We start from the raw sequence: 13,407 nt of genomic DNA on the forward strand, positions 1-13,407 counted from the left end.
CAGAGGGGAAATAATGGTATTGCTGAGAATGGAGTCACAGGAATCAGGGAGAGATACTTTGCTAGCCATGTTCATACTTAGAACCATGCTAATTTTTACTCTTAGAGCCATGTTAATGCCTCACAAACTCCCAAAATAAGTGGTTAAAACAATGGGGATGGGACAAAATGGAATGCGAAAAGTAATACATGAATTTACTATAATTGTATTACGAATGAATAACATAACCACACTGAAGGGGCGGCACTAGCCAAAGTTACTTTGGAAAACAGTATTTTGATTGTATATTGTAAAGGAAAAGGCAAAATGAACTAGACACAAATATTGTACTCTAGTTTCCTATCTGTTTTTCACAGGGGTATGCAAGAATGAGACTCCTTCATATGCATATTATGATTCAGCAGATCAGTAAATTTATGGAAGGTGATGAGACTCAAATGTTATTAAGAATATCATAAGGAAGAGAAACTGTATTTCCAATTCATTTAGTGGAAGTGGATCATCGTAAAGGTCTTCATCCTCATGGTCTTTACGTTGAGTGGGCTGAGGAGGAAGATAAGGGAGGAGTTGGTCTTGCTGTCTCAGGGGTGGCAGAGATGGGAGAAAATTCCCCTGTAAGTGGACCCACACAGTTCAAACCCACATTTTTCAATAATTAACTGTAATTCAAAACAAAAATTAGAAAACCATAAATATATGTTGAGCGGCTTCCGTGTCTCAGGCCCTGTTGCAGATGCTAGAGATATGCCAGCGAACAGCATGAGGCATGAGGCCCCTGCTCTCATGGGGTTTACATTAAGTCATAGGTCGCATGCTAATCACTCACCATTTGTCATAAAGACAATGAGAATGTACCCTGTACAGATTGAATTATTCTGACTGAAGGTTTACATAATTTATGGTGACACTTGGCTTCTGTCTTAATGATGTCACAAAAGAAAATGTAGAATCAGGGACCAGACATTGTTTACTACACTGCTGAACAGCTCTGGGATTTATATACTCATTTCCAAAAGTACACAGTTACTAAGTCTTCTTGGTGGGCACAATCTAATTTCAGCTTAATGCATTTTTTCTTAAATTGAACCATGCTGATAAGATTGATGTATGATAAGCCACACCTGATAATTGCCCTTTACATGTAAGTCTAGAAACTTCAAGAACGATCCATACACATTTAATTAAATCTATGACTTGTATCTGAATTGTGATTTCATTTCCATTATTTAGCTTTACAATTCTTCAAAATCCACAATTCTATTGATCTTTGACCAGATTACAAATAGGAACAATGAGAGTTGCCGTGGCCATGGGCTCAGTTTGTTTGTCCCATTTGTGTATGATCGCCTTCCCCTGCGGGGAACTGGGCAAGGGGCAAGCCTGGTGGTTCAGTCCTCTGGAGTCCTGATGCTTGTTGGGCTTTTTCTTTTTGCCAGCATGCTCTGGCACTGGCAAACAAGTCATTTAGAGGGAGCTGAGGAGAGATCAACAGAATCTGAGAAAAGTAGGCAATGTGTGAGTTTTCCAAGGGTTCAAGAATTTTTATCACAGCTATAAGGTCAAGTACAATGTTGTGAGCCACTAAGGTGGATACATTAAGTCTCCAGGGTTTTCTCATTCCAAAAAAGAGCCTAGATGCAAAGGAGTGGCTTCCGCAATACAGTAAGGCAACCCTGGAGGAAGTCCGAATGGGGACAACTGAGCCATCCATAGTAATAACCATGGCCTCCTTTCCTACTTACCTCTCTGGCCACTTTTCTTCCACCCAAGCTAACTCATTCTACTTAATGAGATATTTGAAAGTTGCAGTTTCCCAAGAAGGAGTATGAGGTTCTGGTCATTTCTCTGTCTGTATTAGGTGACCTCCTACATGCCCGTGACCATTCATGCTCAAGACTTGGAGGTTCAGTTTTCAGCACAGAGCTGCTGCTCCTGAGTTCCCACCAGAACACTCTATTGCTTATTTAACATTTCCTCATGAATGTCTCAAAGGCATCTTACATCAAACTGGCTTAGTGATCTTTCCTTCCCTGCACCCCAACATCAGAATCTGGTCCTCTGTCTCTGTGACTAGTACCATCATTCATTCACCTGCACACACCGGAAGAAGGGGAGTGATTCCTCACTCTCTTACTTTCTCTTACCACCCCTGTATCTAATCAATAGCTGATTGGTTATTGATTCTACCACCTAAATATCTCTCAAATCTGTTCGTATTTATTTGCTCCATCTCCACTGTGTCTACCTTAGCCCAAACTGTCATTCTCTGCAATACCATCCTCTGTAATATCATCCTCTGTCTTCTGAATTATAGCACTAATCTAAACAGTTCTCCCCATATTCCCTCTTACTCCCCCTAATCCAATCACCACATTGTAGTCAAGAGAACTTTTAAGAATTGCTCATATGACTCTATTGTTTAAACCCTTTGATGGTTTCCTATTTTCTTATGATAAAGACTCAAATCCTTAATATGGCCTGAAACAATCTGCATAATCTGGCTTTTCAGCCTCATCTCCTGCTACTCACTACCCACTTTATTTACCATAACACATCAGCCTTTCTTCTACAATTTGCAATGAGCCACGCTCATGTCAGTCTGGCCTTTGCATATTCTGTTCTCCTTTCCTGGGTATCCAGATATCCTTCAGGAGATACTTCTTATTACTCCCTGAAGGAGATAATCTCCAAACCCTCAACTCAGTTCCCACAGGTTACTCTCCCAGTACCCTAGACCTCTCGTTCCTAGTGTTTACCACAATTCAAATGAAATAATTGTATAGTTATTTCACTTTTGTCTCTCACTCTTGAATGTAAGCCTATAAGGGTAGGGACCATGTCTATCAGCTCATGACTAATCACCAGTACCTGCCACAGTGCTGGGCACACAGCAGTAATTTAACATTTAATATTAATAAGGTAACAGTGCTGGAATCAGGCACTATTATAAGCTCTTCATGTGTAGGAACTCATTGAATCCTGGTAACAAACCCAGAATGTAGGTATTCTTCTTCTTCTCATTTTACAGATGTAAAACAGGCACAGAGAGGTGGAGTGAGCTGCAAAGATCACACAGTGGAAAATGGAACTTGAACCTAGCAGTCTAGATTCAAAGCCTGTATTTTACTTTACTGCCTCAATATTTATGGAAAGCATGCCTGTTTAAATGTTCACTGAAGTCAATAACTCAGAGAATTGCTCATAAACAAATTCATAATTATAGAGCACCTCTACTGTAAAGTTTAACATGTTTAACTATGGAGAAGTAGAGGGGTATAAGTACTTTGATACTATCCGTACTGAAAACAAAAAAAAATCTTTGCCAAGTCCATAAGAGAGAACTTGTCCAAAGGTGAATACTATTAGTGATTCAAATAGGTTGAAATAATATTCAAAGCCTTTGTACTTCTTAGACTCATGAAAATTTGGTTGCTTGATATGCTGGAGTGTATATATTTGCTAATACTTTAAGGCCTTTCTGTGCTGCATTAGCCAATCTAAAAAGAGCAAACAAAATGAACATAGGTCACATGGTTCATTATTCCTAGCTTAAATGTTAAACAATAGAGAAGTCAATGACATTTTAAATTGTGGGTTGTCATTTTATTGCGGCTTTGGGAAGAGCAAAAATGCACAGAATAGAACATTGGGCAATGTCCCCTGCCCATAGCTGAGCTCTATTACTAAGATGAGATGCTGTCATCTGTGTTTTCATTTCCACATTTAACAACAAAAGCGGCACTTGCCAACTGTCATGAAGTTGTTCTGAGTAGGGTGTGATGATGTTTGTAAAGTTTGTAGTGCTGGAAGAAAAGTACTAATAAATACCAAAGCACAAACCACTTAAATAGTGCACAATTCGATGTGAAGTAGAAGATTCAAAATGACTCAGTGATTATTAATCTAATGCTCTAAAATACGAATAGGGGATTAATCCCAAGATGTTTCACATATTCTTAGAATATTAGAATTTTAAATTCTTATATGTTTTAAGACTATACCTACATGATTTTTGAAGCAATATTGAGAAGTGAAAAAACAGTTGATTCCAACGACAGATGACTCAAATGGGCAGAGATTTCTTAATAATATAGACTGGGAAACTAGAATACATCCAATTCAGGCTTCCCATTAAATCTATAGTGAATGGGCGATCATTCATCCTCCCATAGGGGAGTTACTGGGAATTTCCTCCGCATGCTATTCTGCTAGTTGACTATTTGCACATGGGGGCTTCCCAAATGGTTTCCGGTAAGAGAAGTGTGCTTCCTGCTATGGAGGGACTGGATCAGCCTAGGCTAGCTGGCCCATGGAAGAGAGTTCTTAGGCCGGCAAAAAACTGGAGTTTGTGAGGGCCTTTAGGGTTGTCAATTCACAACTAAACCTATGTGGGACACTATCCTTTGGACTGATTGTCACTTTTAGCTTTTTTTTTTTCTTAAACAAAAACAAAACTTGAACCCCCATTTTAATAAACAATTTTTTTTGTATTCTACCTTAATGATAATTGACATCTCAAAATAAATTTTGTGAATAGGAAGAAATCACAGTAAAGGTAAATTTAGAATATGCTTCAAACTACTTAAGCACTCTATCCTCCTGCATCCGGAGTTGATTCCTTCCAGTGGGTTCCTGGTCTTGCTGACTTCAAAAATGAAGCCCCGGACCTTCACGGTGAATGTTACAGCTCTTAAAGATGGCACAAACCCAGGCCAGGCGTGGTGGCTCATGCCTGTAATCCCAACACTTTGGGAGGCCAAGGCGGGTGGATCACTAGGTCAGTCCTGTAATCCCAGCACTTTGGGAGGCCAAGGCGGGTGAATCATGAGGTCAGGAGATCGAGACCATCCTGGTTAACACGGTGAAACCCCACCTCTACTAAAAATATAAAAAAATTAGCTGGGCATGGAGACAGGCGCCTGTAGTCCCAGCTACTCAGGTGGCTGAGGCAGGAGAATGGCGTGAACCTGGGAGGCGGAGCTTGCAGTGAGCTGAGATCACGCCACTGCACTCTAGCCTGGGGGACAGAGCGAGACTCCCTCTCAAAAAAAAAAAAAAAAAAAAAGAAAGAAAGAAATGATGGCACAAACCCAAAGACTGAGCAGCAGCAAGATTTATTGTGAAGAGCAAAAGAACAAAGCTTCCACAATGTGGAAAAGGACCCAAGCAGGCTGCCCCTGCAGGCTGGGGTGGCCAGTTTTTATTGGCTTATTTGTCCCTGCCCATGCCCTGCTGATTGGTCCATTTTACAGAGTGCTGATTGGTCCATTTTACAAACCTCTAGCTACCTACAGAGTGCTGATAGGTGCGTTTTTACAGAGCACTGATTGGTGCATTTTACAAAACTCTAGCTAGCTACAGAGTGCTGATTGGTGCATTTTACAATCCTCTTGTAAGAAAAGTTCTCCAAGTCCCCACCCAACCCAGAAATCCAGCTGGCTTCACCTCTCACTCCCAGGAATTTCAGGGCTGAAAACACATTCCTCGTGGGTGGCACAATCTTCTGTGAATGCCAGGCTAGCAATTCCAGCAGGCTGTTCCTGGATGGACCCTAATACCTGGATCGCACATGAAAACTTGGATTTGGTGCCTACTTCTAGACTGCTGTTTCGTCTCGTTTATTTTCTAGACAAACTGTGCTGCTCCATGGCAGTAGCATCAATATGTCTTTTGTTTCGTGGCGCTACCTAGGGATTTAAATTCAAACCGTATCACAAAATACAATAAAGGTTTATTTACAGCACATTGGTTTCATTTGACGTTCCTGTACCGGACTACCCTGGCAATCGGCTAAAGTTTTGTCAGCAAGTTTGCTGCTGGGATTTTTCTTATTTGGTTCAGTTTACTACAGCCTATCGTAAGTGATGCAGATGGAGTTAGTTTCTAACATGTGAACGTGAGAACTGTTTTGGTTTGGGTCCATCATTAAAACTGAAGAAGATTATTTGGGTTCGATGGTGTAGATTTTTGACTTTTATTTCTAGTTTCTGTGTGCTTTGTCATATTTCCCCTTGCTTCCTAGACGAGGTGTGTTTCCTTATCTGATTTTGCATCACTGGAGAGAACTCAGGAAGCAGGAGAGGCTGAATTGGATACCACGGGGAATGCAGCCCTGCCAACAGAGGACTGGATAGAATTAGAGCAAACGGACACATCCCCCCACGCCTGTTCTCCACAGGGCAGATTTTATTAATATATTTCTAACATTGGGGCCTCGTTTCAGTCTTCAAGTTTTTTCTTTTTTAGCGCAAACTAGACGCGCTCTGAGAGCCAAAATTAGCGTCCGCGAACCCCACCCCATTGCCTCCAACAGACCTAGCTCTCCTTTCCACCCTCAAACAGCCGTTACTACAGTTCCCAGCAAGCACCGCGCAGGGCCGCAAAGGGCCAGGCCCTCGGCGAAGGCCCCGCCCCGCAGGGGGCATGCCGGGAGTTGTAGTGAGTGGGCGCTTCCCTACTACTACTTGTCCCTTCCACTGGGCATTCCCACTTGGAAGAGTGTGATGCGCTGCCAGAGCAGTTTCTCTAGTTCCGTACTCGGAGCTCAAGGTGACAGAGGACTGCGCTTCCAGCCCTGCGCTGCGCATCGCGTCGGTCCCGCGGACCTTTGCCCCGCCTCCTTCCACACCCGTTCCCTTGACAGCTGGGCTGCGCTCCGGGCCGCGGCAAGCCGCGAGCGCGCAGGCGCAGCAGCCCCGCGCCGCGCTAGGCCGGCCTGGAGGGCGGGACAAGCGCTAGAAGCTCCCGGCCGGGGGCGCGCACGTAGGCACGCAGAGGCCGTCACGTGGGTCGCCGAGGCTCGCAAGTGCGCGTGGCCGTGGCGGCTGGTGTGGGGTTGAGTCAGTTGTGGGACCCGGAGCTGCTGACCCAGCGGGTGGCCCACCGAACCGGTGACACAGCGGCAGGCGTTAGGGCTCGGGAGCCGCGAGCCTGGCCTCGTCCTAGAGCTCGGCCGAGCCGTCGCCGCCGTCGTCCCCCGCCCCCAGTCAGCAAACCGCCGCCGCGGGCGCGCCCCCGCTCTGCGCTGTCTCTCCGATGGCGTCCGCCTCAGGGGCCATGGCGAAGCACGAGCAGATCCTGGTCCTCGATCCGCCCACAGACCTCAAATTCAAAGGTAGGCAGAACGGGGACACCCCCGGGTGGGGTGGGGCGCGCGGACCGCTGGCTGTCGGCGGGGGGGCGCGGAGGGCACGTCCGCGGCCCTGGCCCGAGGGAGCGCCCCCTCCCCCACGCCCCGGCGCCTTCCCTTTCCCGGCTGCTTTCTTGCCGCCACCTCGGCCGGCCTGCCCCTTGCTCCGGCCCGCTTCATCCCCTCCCGCCCGCCCTCGCTGCGGTGCGCGCGCCGGCCGGGGCGAGGCGGAGGGGAGCCCGGCCCTGGCGCCGCCGCCGCCGCCATCTTGCGGTCCCGCGGGGGCGCCTCCTGGGCGTCCGGTCCCGCCCGCGCCGCGGTCCGCCTGGGCCCGCGTCCTTGGCCCCAGAGGCCGACGGCGTGCTTCGGCGGGGCGTGGGCGGCTGGGCACCCGAGGGCGTGCGCTCTGGGCTGCGGCGGGGAGTGGGCTCTGGAGGTGGCGCAAGCTGCGTCTGTCGCCCGCTCCCGGCTGTCAGCGGCGCGGGGAGGCTAGGGCACGGCGCGGGACCCCTTGGGAGTGAGAGCCGCCCCCCGACCCCTGCCCCGGCCCGGGGAGAGCTCGCTGCAGCCGGCCCTCGGGTTCCGCGGAGGGCGTCGCTTGTCACCTTTCCGCCAGGTTTAGAACTCGGCCGTCAGGTGTAGGACGCGCCGGGGAGGTGGAGAGTCCTTGGAGGTGCCTGGCGAGGGCTGCCCGGTGCTGTTGGCACGGACCCAGGTGCGTGCGGGCAGGAGCGATGCGTCAGCCGCAAACGGAGAGTTGTAGGTTCATAGTAGCGGGGCTTCCTGCCTTCTACGACATTTCAGTGTGCCACCCGCGTGCTTTTATTTAGCCCTTTAGTTGAGCTCCTCTGCTGAGAAACCTTCAGTGCGTGTGACTTTTTTGCTTTTACGTTTGCGGTTTCCGACAGATCCTGAGAAGGCTGATAAGGTGTCACCCAGCTCTGGAACTTTGTAGGTTTTTGTAGTACTGCCTGTGATAAGTTTTTTAGTCTGACTTGGTGATCCTGGAAGAATCCCAGGGGCTTTTGGTCGGTTTCCTTGTCAATATGTAGTGTACTTTAGGAAAGAGAGTTAAAATGTACAGATTTTTATTTTTTTTCTTTGTTTTTAAGGAATACTGAAAGAGTGTGAACATCTAATAGAAAGTAGGTTCCTTCCTATCTTTAGTTAAGTGTAAAGTGAGTCCCGTTTTGGAAGTCTATGTCTTGTATTTCAATTGTTGAATGAGAACAATTTTTGTGAGGTGTATAGCAATTCTAGTGCTAAAAGAAAAAATTAAATCCTTTATTGTTGTGTAAGGCTGAGTCCAAGAGAAAGCCAACTACATTGTTTTCCATAGGAAAAACTTCAGGTTTAGGAATTTAAAATATATTCTGGAATTATGAGATTAATATTGCATAACTACATTGCAAGCTTTTTAGTGCGTTTACAAATTTCTTTGAATAGAAGTGTAAGTGAGCTACTTGTTGGGTAAGGATTTGGTTTTAAGGTGCAGTGAATGTATTTTATTGCAAGTTTATGTAAGTTGTGTGATTTTTACGTAGTTGTAGCTGGGGGAAAACCTTTGAGGAATTATGAAGAGTCCTGACTCAGCCATTATCTTGAGATAATTTAATGTAAATCTGTATGGTGTGTTTTTTTTTAATATTTCGTTTTTATCTTTTGATTGGCTGTGTTTACAGTGAACATTTCCTCTACTGGATAACTATGTGTAAATTGCCATTAGGGATTTATAAGCCTTTACAACCAGTTTTAGGCCAGGAAATGTCCACAGAGTTTGAAGTTTTCTCCTTAGGGAAGTTGTTATGTTGCTATAGTAAGGGAGTAATAATAGTGGAGAAGCAAGTTTAAAAAACAAGCAAAAGCCCTACACAGTGACTTACTCATATATTTCCTTTTTTGGGGGTGTTGGAGAATTACAGCTATGATTATAGAACTCATTGTTTTTGTGTTGCCAGTAAAAATAAGACTAGCCAGGGAAGCAGAAAAGGTGTGTAGATGGTATAACAGAGACACAACCGTGTCTGAGGAAAGAAGCCCTTTCTCTATGTGCCCCATCCCTCCCTTAGGAAGCATTTAAGGAAAAGGCTTGTTTTTCATTTCAGGGGAGGTTTAGGCCAAGAGAGTGGTTGAGTAAACACACTGCTGTGAGAGAATGCCTGGTACTTAAATGCCCAATAGTTTGTTGTGTGTTTCAGTTTAAAGATGGAGATGATGGGGAGGATTGGGAGGTGACATTTGGTGTTTGATTCCTTAATATTATCGTTTTAGTCAAAGGTAAATTGTTGGCTTTGATGGAAACCTTTGTGTATTTAAATGCACAGTTCAACACTGAGGAGATTCATTTAGAATGTACAGTCTACTTGGGCTTAGTTTATGATAGAAAAAAATCATTTAACTGACTTACCCTAAGTCATTCAAAACTTTCTAAGTGAAGGACTTTTAGAAGACAGTTTTGCAAAATTCTTTGTCATCTTCTAGTAGGTTTATTTTAGTTATTGATTCTGAGTTTGAGATGGTTTCTCCAGGAGTGACTCAGGTAATCATTCTGAGATTGGATGGTTTTTCTTTTATACACCTAACAAGCATCTTGAAGATGAATTAACAGTATGTTGCACAATTTTGCAAAAGCAGACACCAACTATTTCAGTACATTTTTCTGTATACCTCAGTATTTAAAAAAAAGTTTGTTTTATACAGTCGTTAACATATAAAAGTGCATTTACGATGTAATGAATTCTGAAGTAGATCACTTGTGTTAGTAAAGAAAAAGAAGTAGACGCTGCTTTACTTCAAATTCTGTTTAAACCTTGGAAGTAATTTTACCTAGATTTCAGATTTGAAACTTGGTATTTTATGTGAAAGATTTTTTTTGTCTTTAAAATTTTTTACATGATAAAATTCCATTTATAATGTATTACACATTTTATTTTTCTACCTATTAGCAGTTTTTTTAAATTTTTTTATTTTTTGAGACGGAGTCTTGCTCTGTTGCAGTGGCTCGATCTCGGCTCATTGCAGTCTCTGCCTCCCGGGTTCAAGCAATTCTCCTGCCTCAGTCTCCAGAGTAGCTGGAACTACAGGCATGCACTACCATGCCCAGCTAATTTTGAATTTTTTGTAGAGACGGGATTTTGCCAGGCTGGCCTCGAACTTCTGACCTCAGGTGATCCGCCTGCCTTGGCCTCCCAAAGTGCTGGGATTACAGGCGTGAGCCACCGCACCTGACCCCTATTAGCAGTTTTGTAGAAAAGTTTGAAGAAGAAAGTTTATAAAATGCTAAAATAAATTTCAAATATATTCTTAATGATCAGAGAGAGACGAAAATAAACCAAAATCCTTATGTTGAGAGTGGCCGATAACAATAAATCAACAAAGAAAATTAAGCTCTCTGAGGGATCGAGGGACGTATGGTGTTAACATCAGCTAGTGCATCTGCATAGAAGCAGCACGGGGCGGGGGGGAAATTAGAGAATACTCCTCTGGATGGATATTTAGCACATTTTTAGGTGTTTCCAGTCGGCTCTTCATGTTTCCCAGTGGCTATACAAAACGCCTGGGGCTCTAAAGACATGAATGTAATCTTTAATCATATATTACTCCATTCCTTAGTTTTTAGGTAACTCTCAATTGCTCACAGAATAAAAGTCAGATTTTTTTTTTTCAGTAAGACATACCATCTCTTCCATGATGTGCCTTCCTCTTGTAACACCTGTTAGTCTGTACACATCCATACTTTCTTCCCTGAGAAAGAAAAACCCTGCTCATACCCAAGGTTCTTTGTTCCTCTATTTTTGCTGGCTAAGGTAAAATTCCTTATGACTCAGACCATGTTCCATGAGATGTTTTCCTGCTGGTTTTCAATCACTGGCTGCATTGTTTTAACATATAAATACACCAGAGTCTTTGATTTTAAAAACAAATGAGCAGACATGTACTTCTTTGACCATAACTCTTTCTAGTATGTGTCTCTCCCTGTCCTTCATTTCCTTTGCATTCAGACTTTTTGGAAAAATAGTCCATATTCACTGTTTTTCCAGTTACTCACCTTTTATTCTCTCCTTAGTCCACGGTACTTTTATCCTCTCACTACTTATTGCTAACTTAATCATTTCCAGTTTTTATCTTACTTGACCTCCCCCTGGCTCTTGACAGTACCGACAGTTTCTCTAAAAAAAACCCTCAATTCTTCTGGCTTCTATAACAGCATTGTCTTCTAATTTTCTTATTTGCTCCATTTATTGTCTTATTTGTGGCATTTTCCTCAAATGCTCATGTTTCTGAGATTCTGATTTGGTTTCATTTATCTCACTCTGTGAACTTTCTTTGTTCATTTCATTGTTTTGAGGTTTTCTCTTTATCTTCCTTGCTCTCTGCAGGTATTGCTACACCCCCAAGTCTGTTTTAATTCACATTTTACCGTCAGTCAAGAGCACATACTCAAACAACTTATTCACTATTTAGATTTGAATATTGCACAGATATGATATTCTAAACTCAAAATATCTCAAAATTTTTACTACCCATGCCTACTCTTCTTCCCATATTTTTTATTTTTATTTTTGAGATGGGGTCTTGCTCAGTTGCTCAACCTGGAGTGCAGTGGCATGCACGTTCTTGGCTCACTGCAGCCGTGACCTCCTGGGCTCAAGTGATCCTCCTGAATAGCTAGGACTATAGGTGCATGCTACCATGCCCAGCTAATTTTTTACGTACATATGGGGGTGCCGCTGTGTTGCCCAGGCTGATCTCGAACTCCTGACCTTGCGTGATCCTCCTGCCTTGGCCTCCTAAAGTGCTGGGATTACAGGCCTGAGCCATTGCACTTGGCTTTATTTTTATTTTTTAGTGGCATCATGATTACTCACACCAGAAACAATATGCATATCTAATAATTAAAATCTGTGTTTCTATTTTTGACATAATCCCTTTGTCCACTTCAATGTGTTTCTACTTCCAAATTCATTTATTTTTAAAATTCATTCAATTATGGATCTAATTTGATTAGATTTGAGTATCTGCTACATGTCAGGTATGATGAATAAATATTGGAACTACAGTTGTGAGTGAAACACAAGCCATGTTTTCATGGGGCAGTTCTAACAAGAGAGATAGATACTAATAAAATAATCAGAAGAATAAAGTGTACCCCTGAAGAGCTATATAGTGCTACGAGAATGTAAAATAAGGGTCTTCGATCAGGCTGTCACAGTTGAACTAAGATTCCAACAATGAGTAAAAGTTATCCTGGTGAAGAAGAAAGGAAAATGCATGTTCAAATATCCGGTAGCAGGAGGGACTGTGAAACATTTACCATACTGAAAGAGGTCGGCGTGGCAGTGGTGAAAATAGTCAAGATGAATGTAGTGCTGGTTTAGTAGGTCAAGTTAGGAGTTTTGTTTTTATCCTGAGCCACTAGGGTTTTTAAGTGAGGGGAGGAGCAGTAAAGATGGAGGGAATCGAATAACATCACATTTGCATTTAAAAATAATTCTGGTAGCAATGTAAAATTATACTAGAGGGGAGAAAGAGATGAATTAGGCGGCTGCAGCAGTACTGGCAAGTGGTGACCCCTTGGACTGAGGTCATGGTATTGGAGGTGATGAAAAGTTAGGTTGAATCTGTGAGACTTGGTGGTCTCTATGTGCACTGAGAGAAAAGGGTATGAATGTCTGAGATTTCTGCTTATATAACTGGGGAAATGGTGGTGCTATTTGAGAAACGGTGGATGTCTGGATGAGGACGAAATGCATCTTATTTGGGGGTGTGTGAGAGAGATGGAGGAGGAGGACGTATGGTAGATATGTTTAGGTCTTTCAGGATATTAACATGAAGGTGGATTTGGTTAAATGGGTGTGTTACTTAAGAAAAGGTCTGGGCTTTGGATAATTTCCTTACTTCAGGTCCTTTTATATTTACTAGTCAGCAGACATCTCCTTTTCTTTTCTTTCTTTCTTTCATTTTTTTCTTGAGATGGAGTCTCGCTTTGTCACCCATGGTGGTGTGCAGTGGCGCTATCTCGGCTCACTGCAACCTCTGCCTCCCGAGTTCAAGCGATGCTCCTGCCTCAGCCTCCCAAGTAGCTGGGATTACAGGCGTGCACCACCATGCCTGGCTAATTTTTGTATTTTTAGTAGAGACGGGGTTTTGCCCTGTGGGCCAGGCTGGTCTCCCTGACCTCAAGTGATCCACCTGCCTCTGCCTCCCAAAGTGTTGGGATGACAGGCGTGAGCCACTGTGCCCAGCCTCCTTTATTGTCAGCTCTTTACCCTGTCCTC

The 13,407-nt window shown here is 43.8% G+C and overlaps 1 protein-coding gene and 1 long non-coding RNA gene across 8 annotated transcripts in view, besides 4 other annotated features; one reads left to right on the forward strand and one right to left on the reverse strand.

Moving 5' to 3' along the window:
- Positions 1–5,711: 5,711 nt before the first annotated feature.
- LOC124904245 (uncharacterized) lies at positions 5,712–6,727 on the reverse strand. Of its 2 annotated transcripts, none has more exons than XR_007066283.1 (2): positions 6,538–6,727; positions 5,712–6,112 (listed from the first exon to the last, which is right to left on the reverse strand). It is a non-coding gene; the product is annotated as an uncharacterized LOC124904245 (long non-coding RNA). The 2 variants fall into 2 exon arrangements; XR_007066284.1 differs by having other exon boundaries at positions 6,491–6,727.
- Positions 6,730–6,779: a silencer, noted in NCBI's record as "silent region_9290". NCBI's record gives its function as "represses an Ori minimal core promoter by ATAC-STARR-seq in GM12878 lymphoblastoid cells {active_cell/tissue: GM12878}" and the evidence as "EXISTENCE:reporter gene assay evidence [ECO:0000049][PMID:35858748]".
- VAPA (VAMP associated protein A) overlaps positions 6,795–13,407 on the forward strand; it is a 46,006-nt gene continuing 39,393 nt past the window's right edge. For 4 of the 6 annotated variants that reach the window (XM_047437929.1, XM_047437932.1, XM_047437930.1 and 1 more), the window contains exon 1: positions 7,383–7,844. Coding sequence is in view for 2 of the 6 variants with exons in the window: in NM_003574.6 (NP_003565.4) it covers positions 7,036–7,114 (79 nt within the window). In the remaining 4 variants the exon portion in view is untranslated. Of the gene's footprint in view, positions 7,115–7,382; positions 7,845–13,407 lie in introns of those variants that run through there. The other 2 variants (NM_003574.6, NM_194434.3) reach the window with 1 other exon arrangement.
- Positions 6,990–7,779: a silencer, noted in NCBI's record as "silent region_9291". NCBI's record gives its function as "represses an Ori minimal core promoter by ATAC-STARR-seq in GM12878 lymphoblastoid cells {active_cell/tissue: GM12878}" and the evidence as "EXISTENCE:reporter gene assay evidence [ECO:0000049][PMID:35858748]".
- Positions 6,990–7,914: a biological region, named in NCBI's record as "H3K27ac hESC enhancer GRCh37_chr18:9914515-9915132".
- Positions 7,297–7,914: an enhancer, noted in NCBI's record as "H3K27ac hESC enhancer chr18:9914515-9915132 (GRCh37/hg19 assembly coordinates)". NCBI's record gives its function as "activates a minimal SCP1, AML or CMV promoter by ChIP-STARR-seq in naive H9 embryonic stem cells {active_cell/tissue: H9 hESC(naive)}" and the evidence as "EXISTENCE:reporter gene assay evidence [ECO:0000049][PMID:30033119]".

This window comes from Homo sapiens, chromosome 18, assembly GCF_000001405.40.
Source record: "Homo sapiens chromosome 18, GRCh38.p14 Primary Assembly".
NCBI classification, from domain to species: domain Eukaryota; kingdom Metazoa; phylum Chordata; class Mammalia; order Primates; family Hominidae; genus Homo; species Homo sapiens.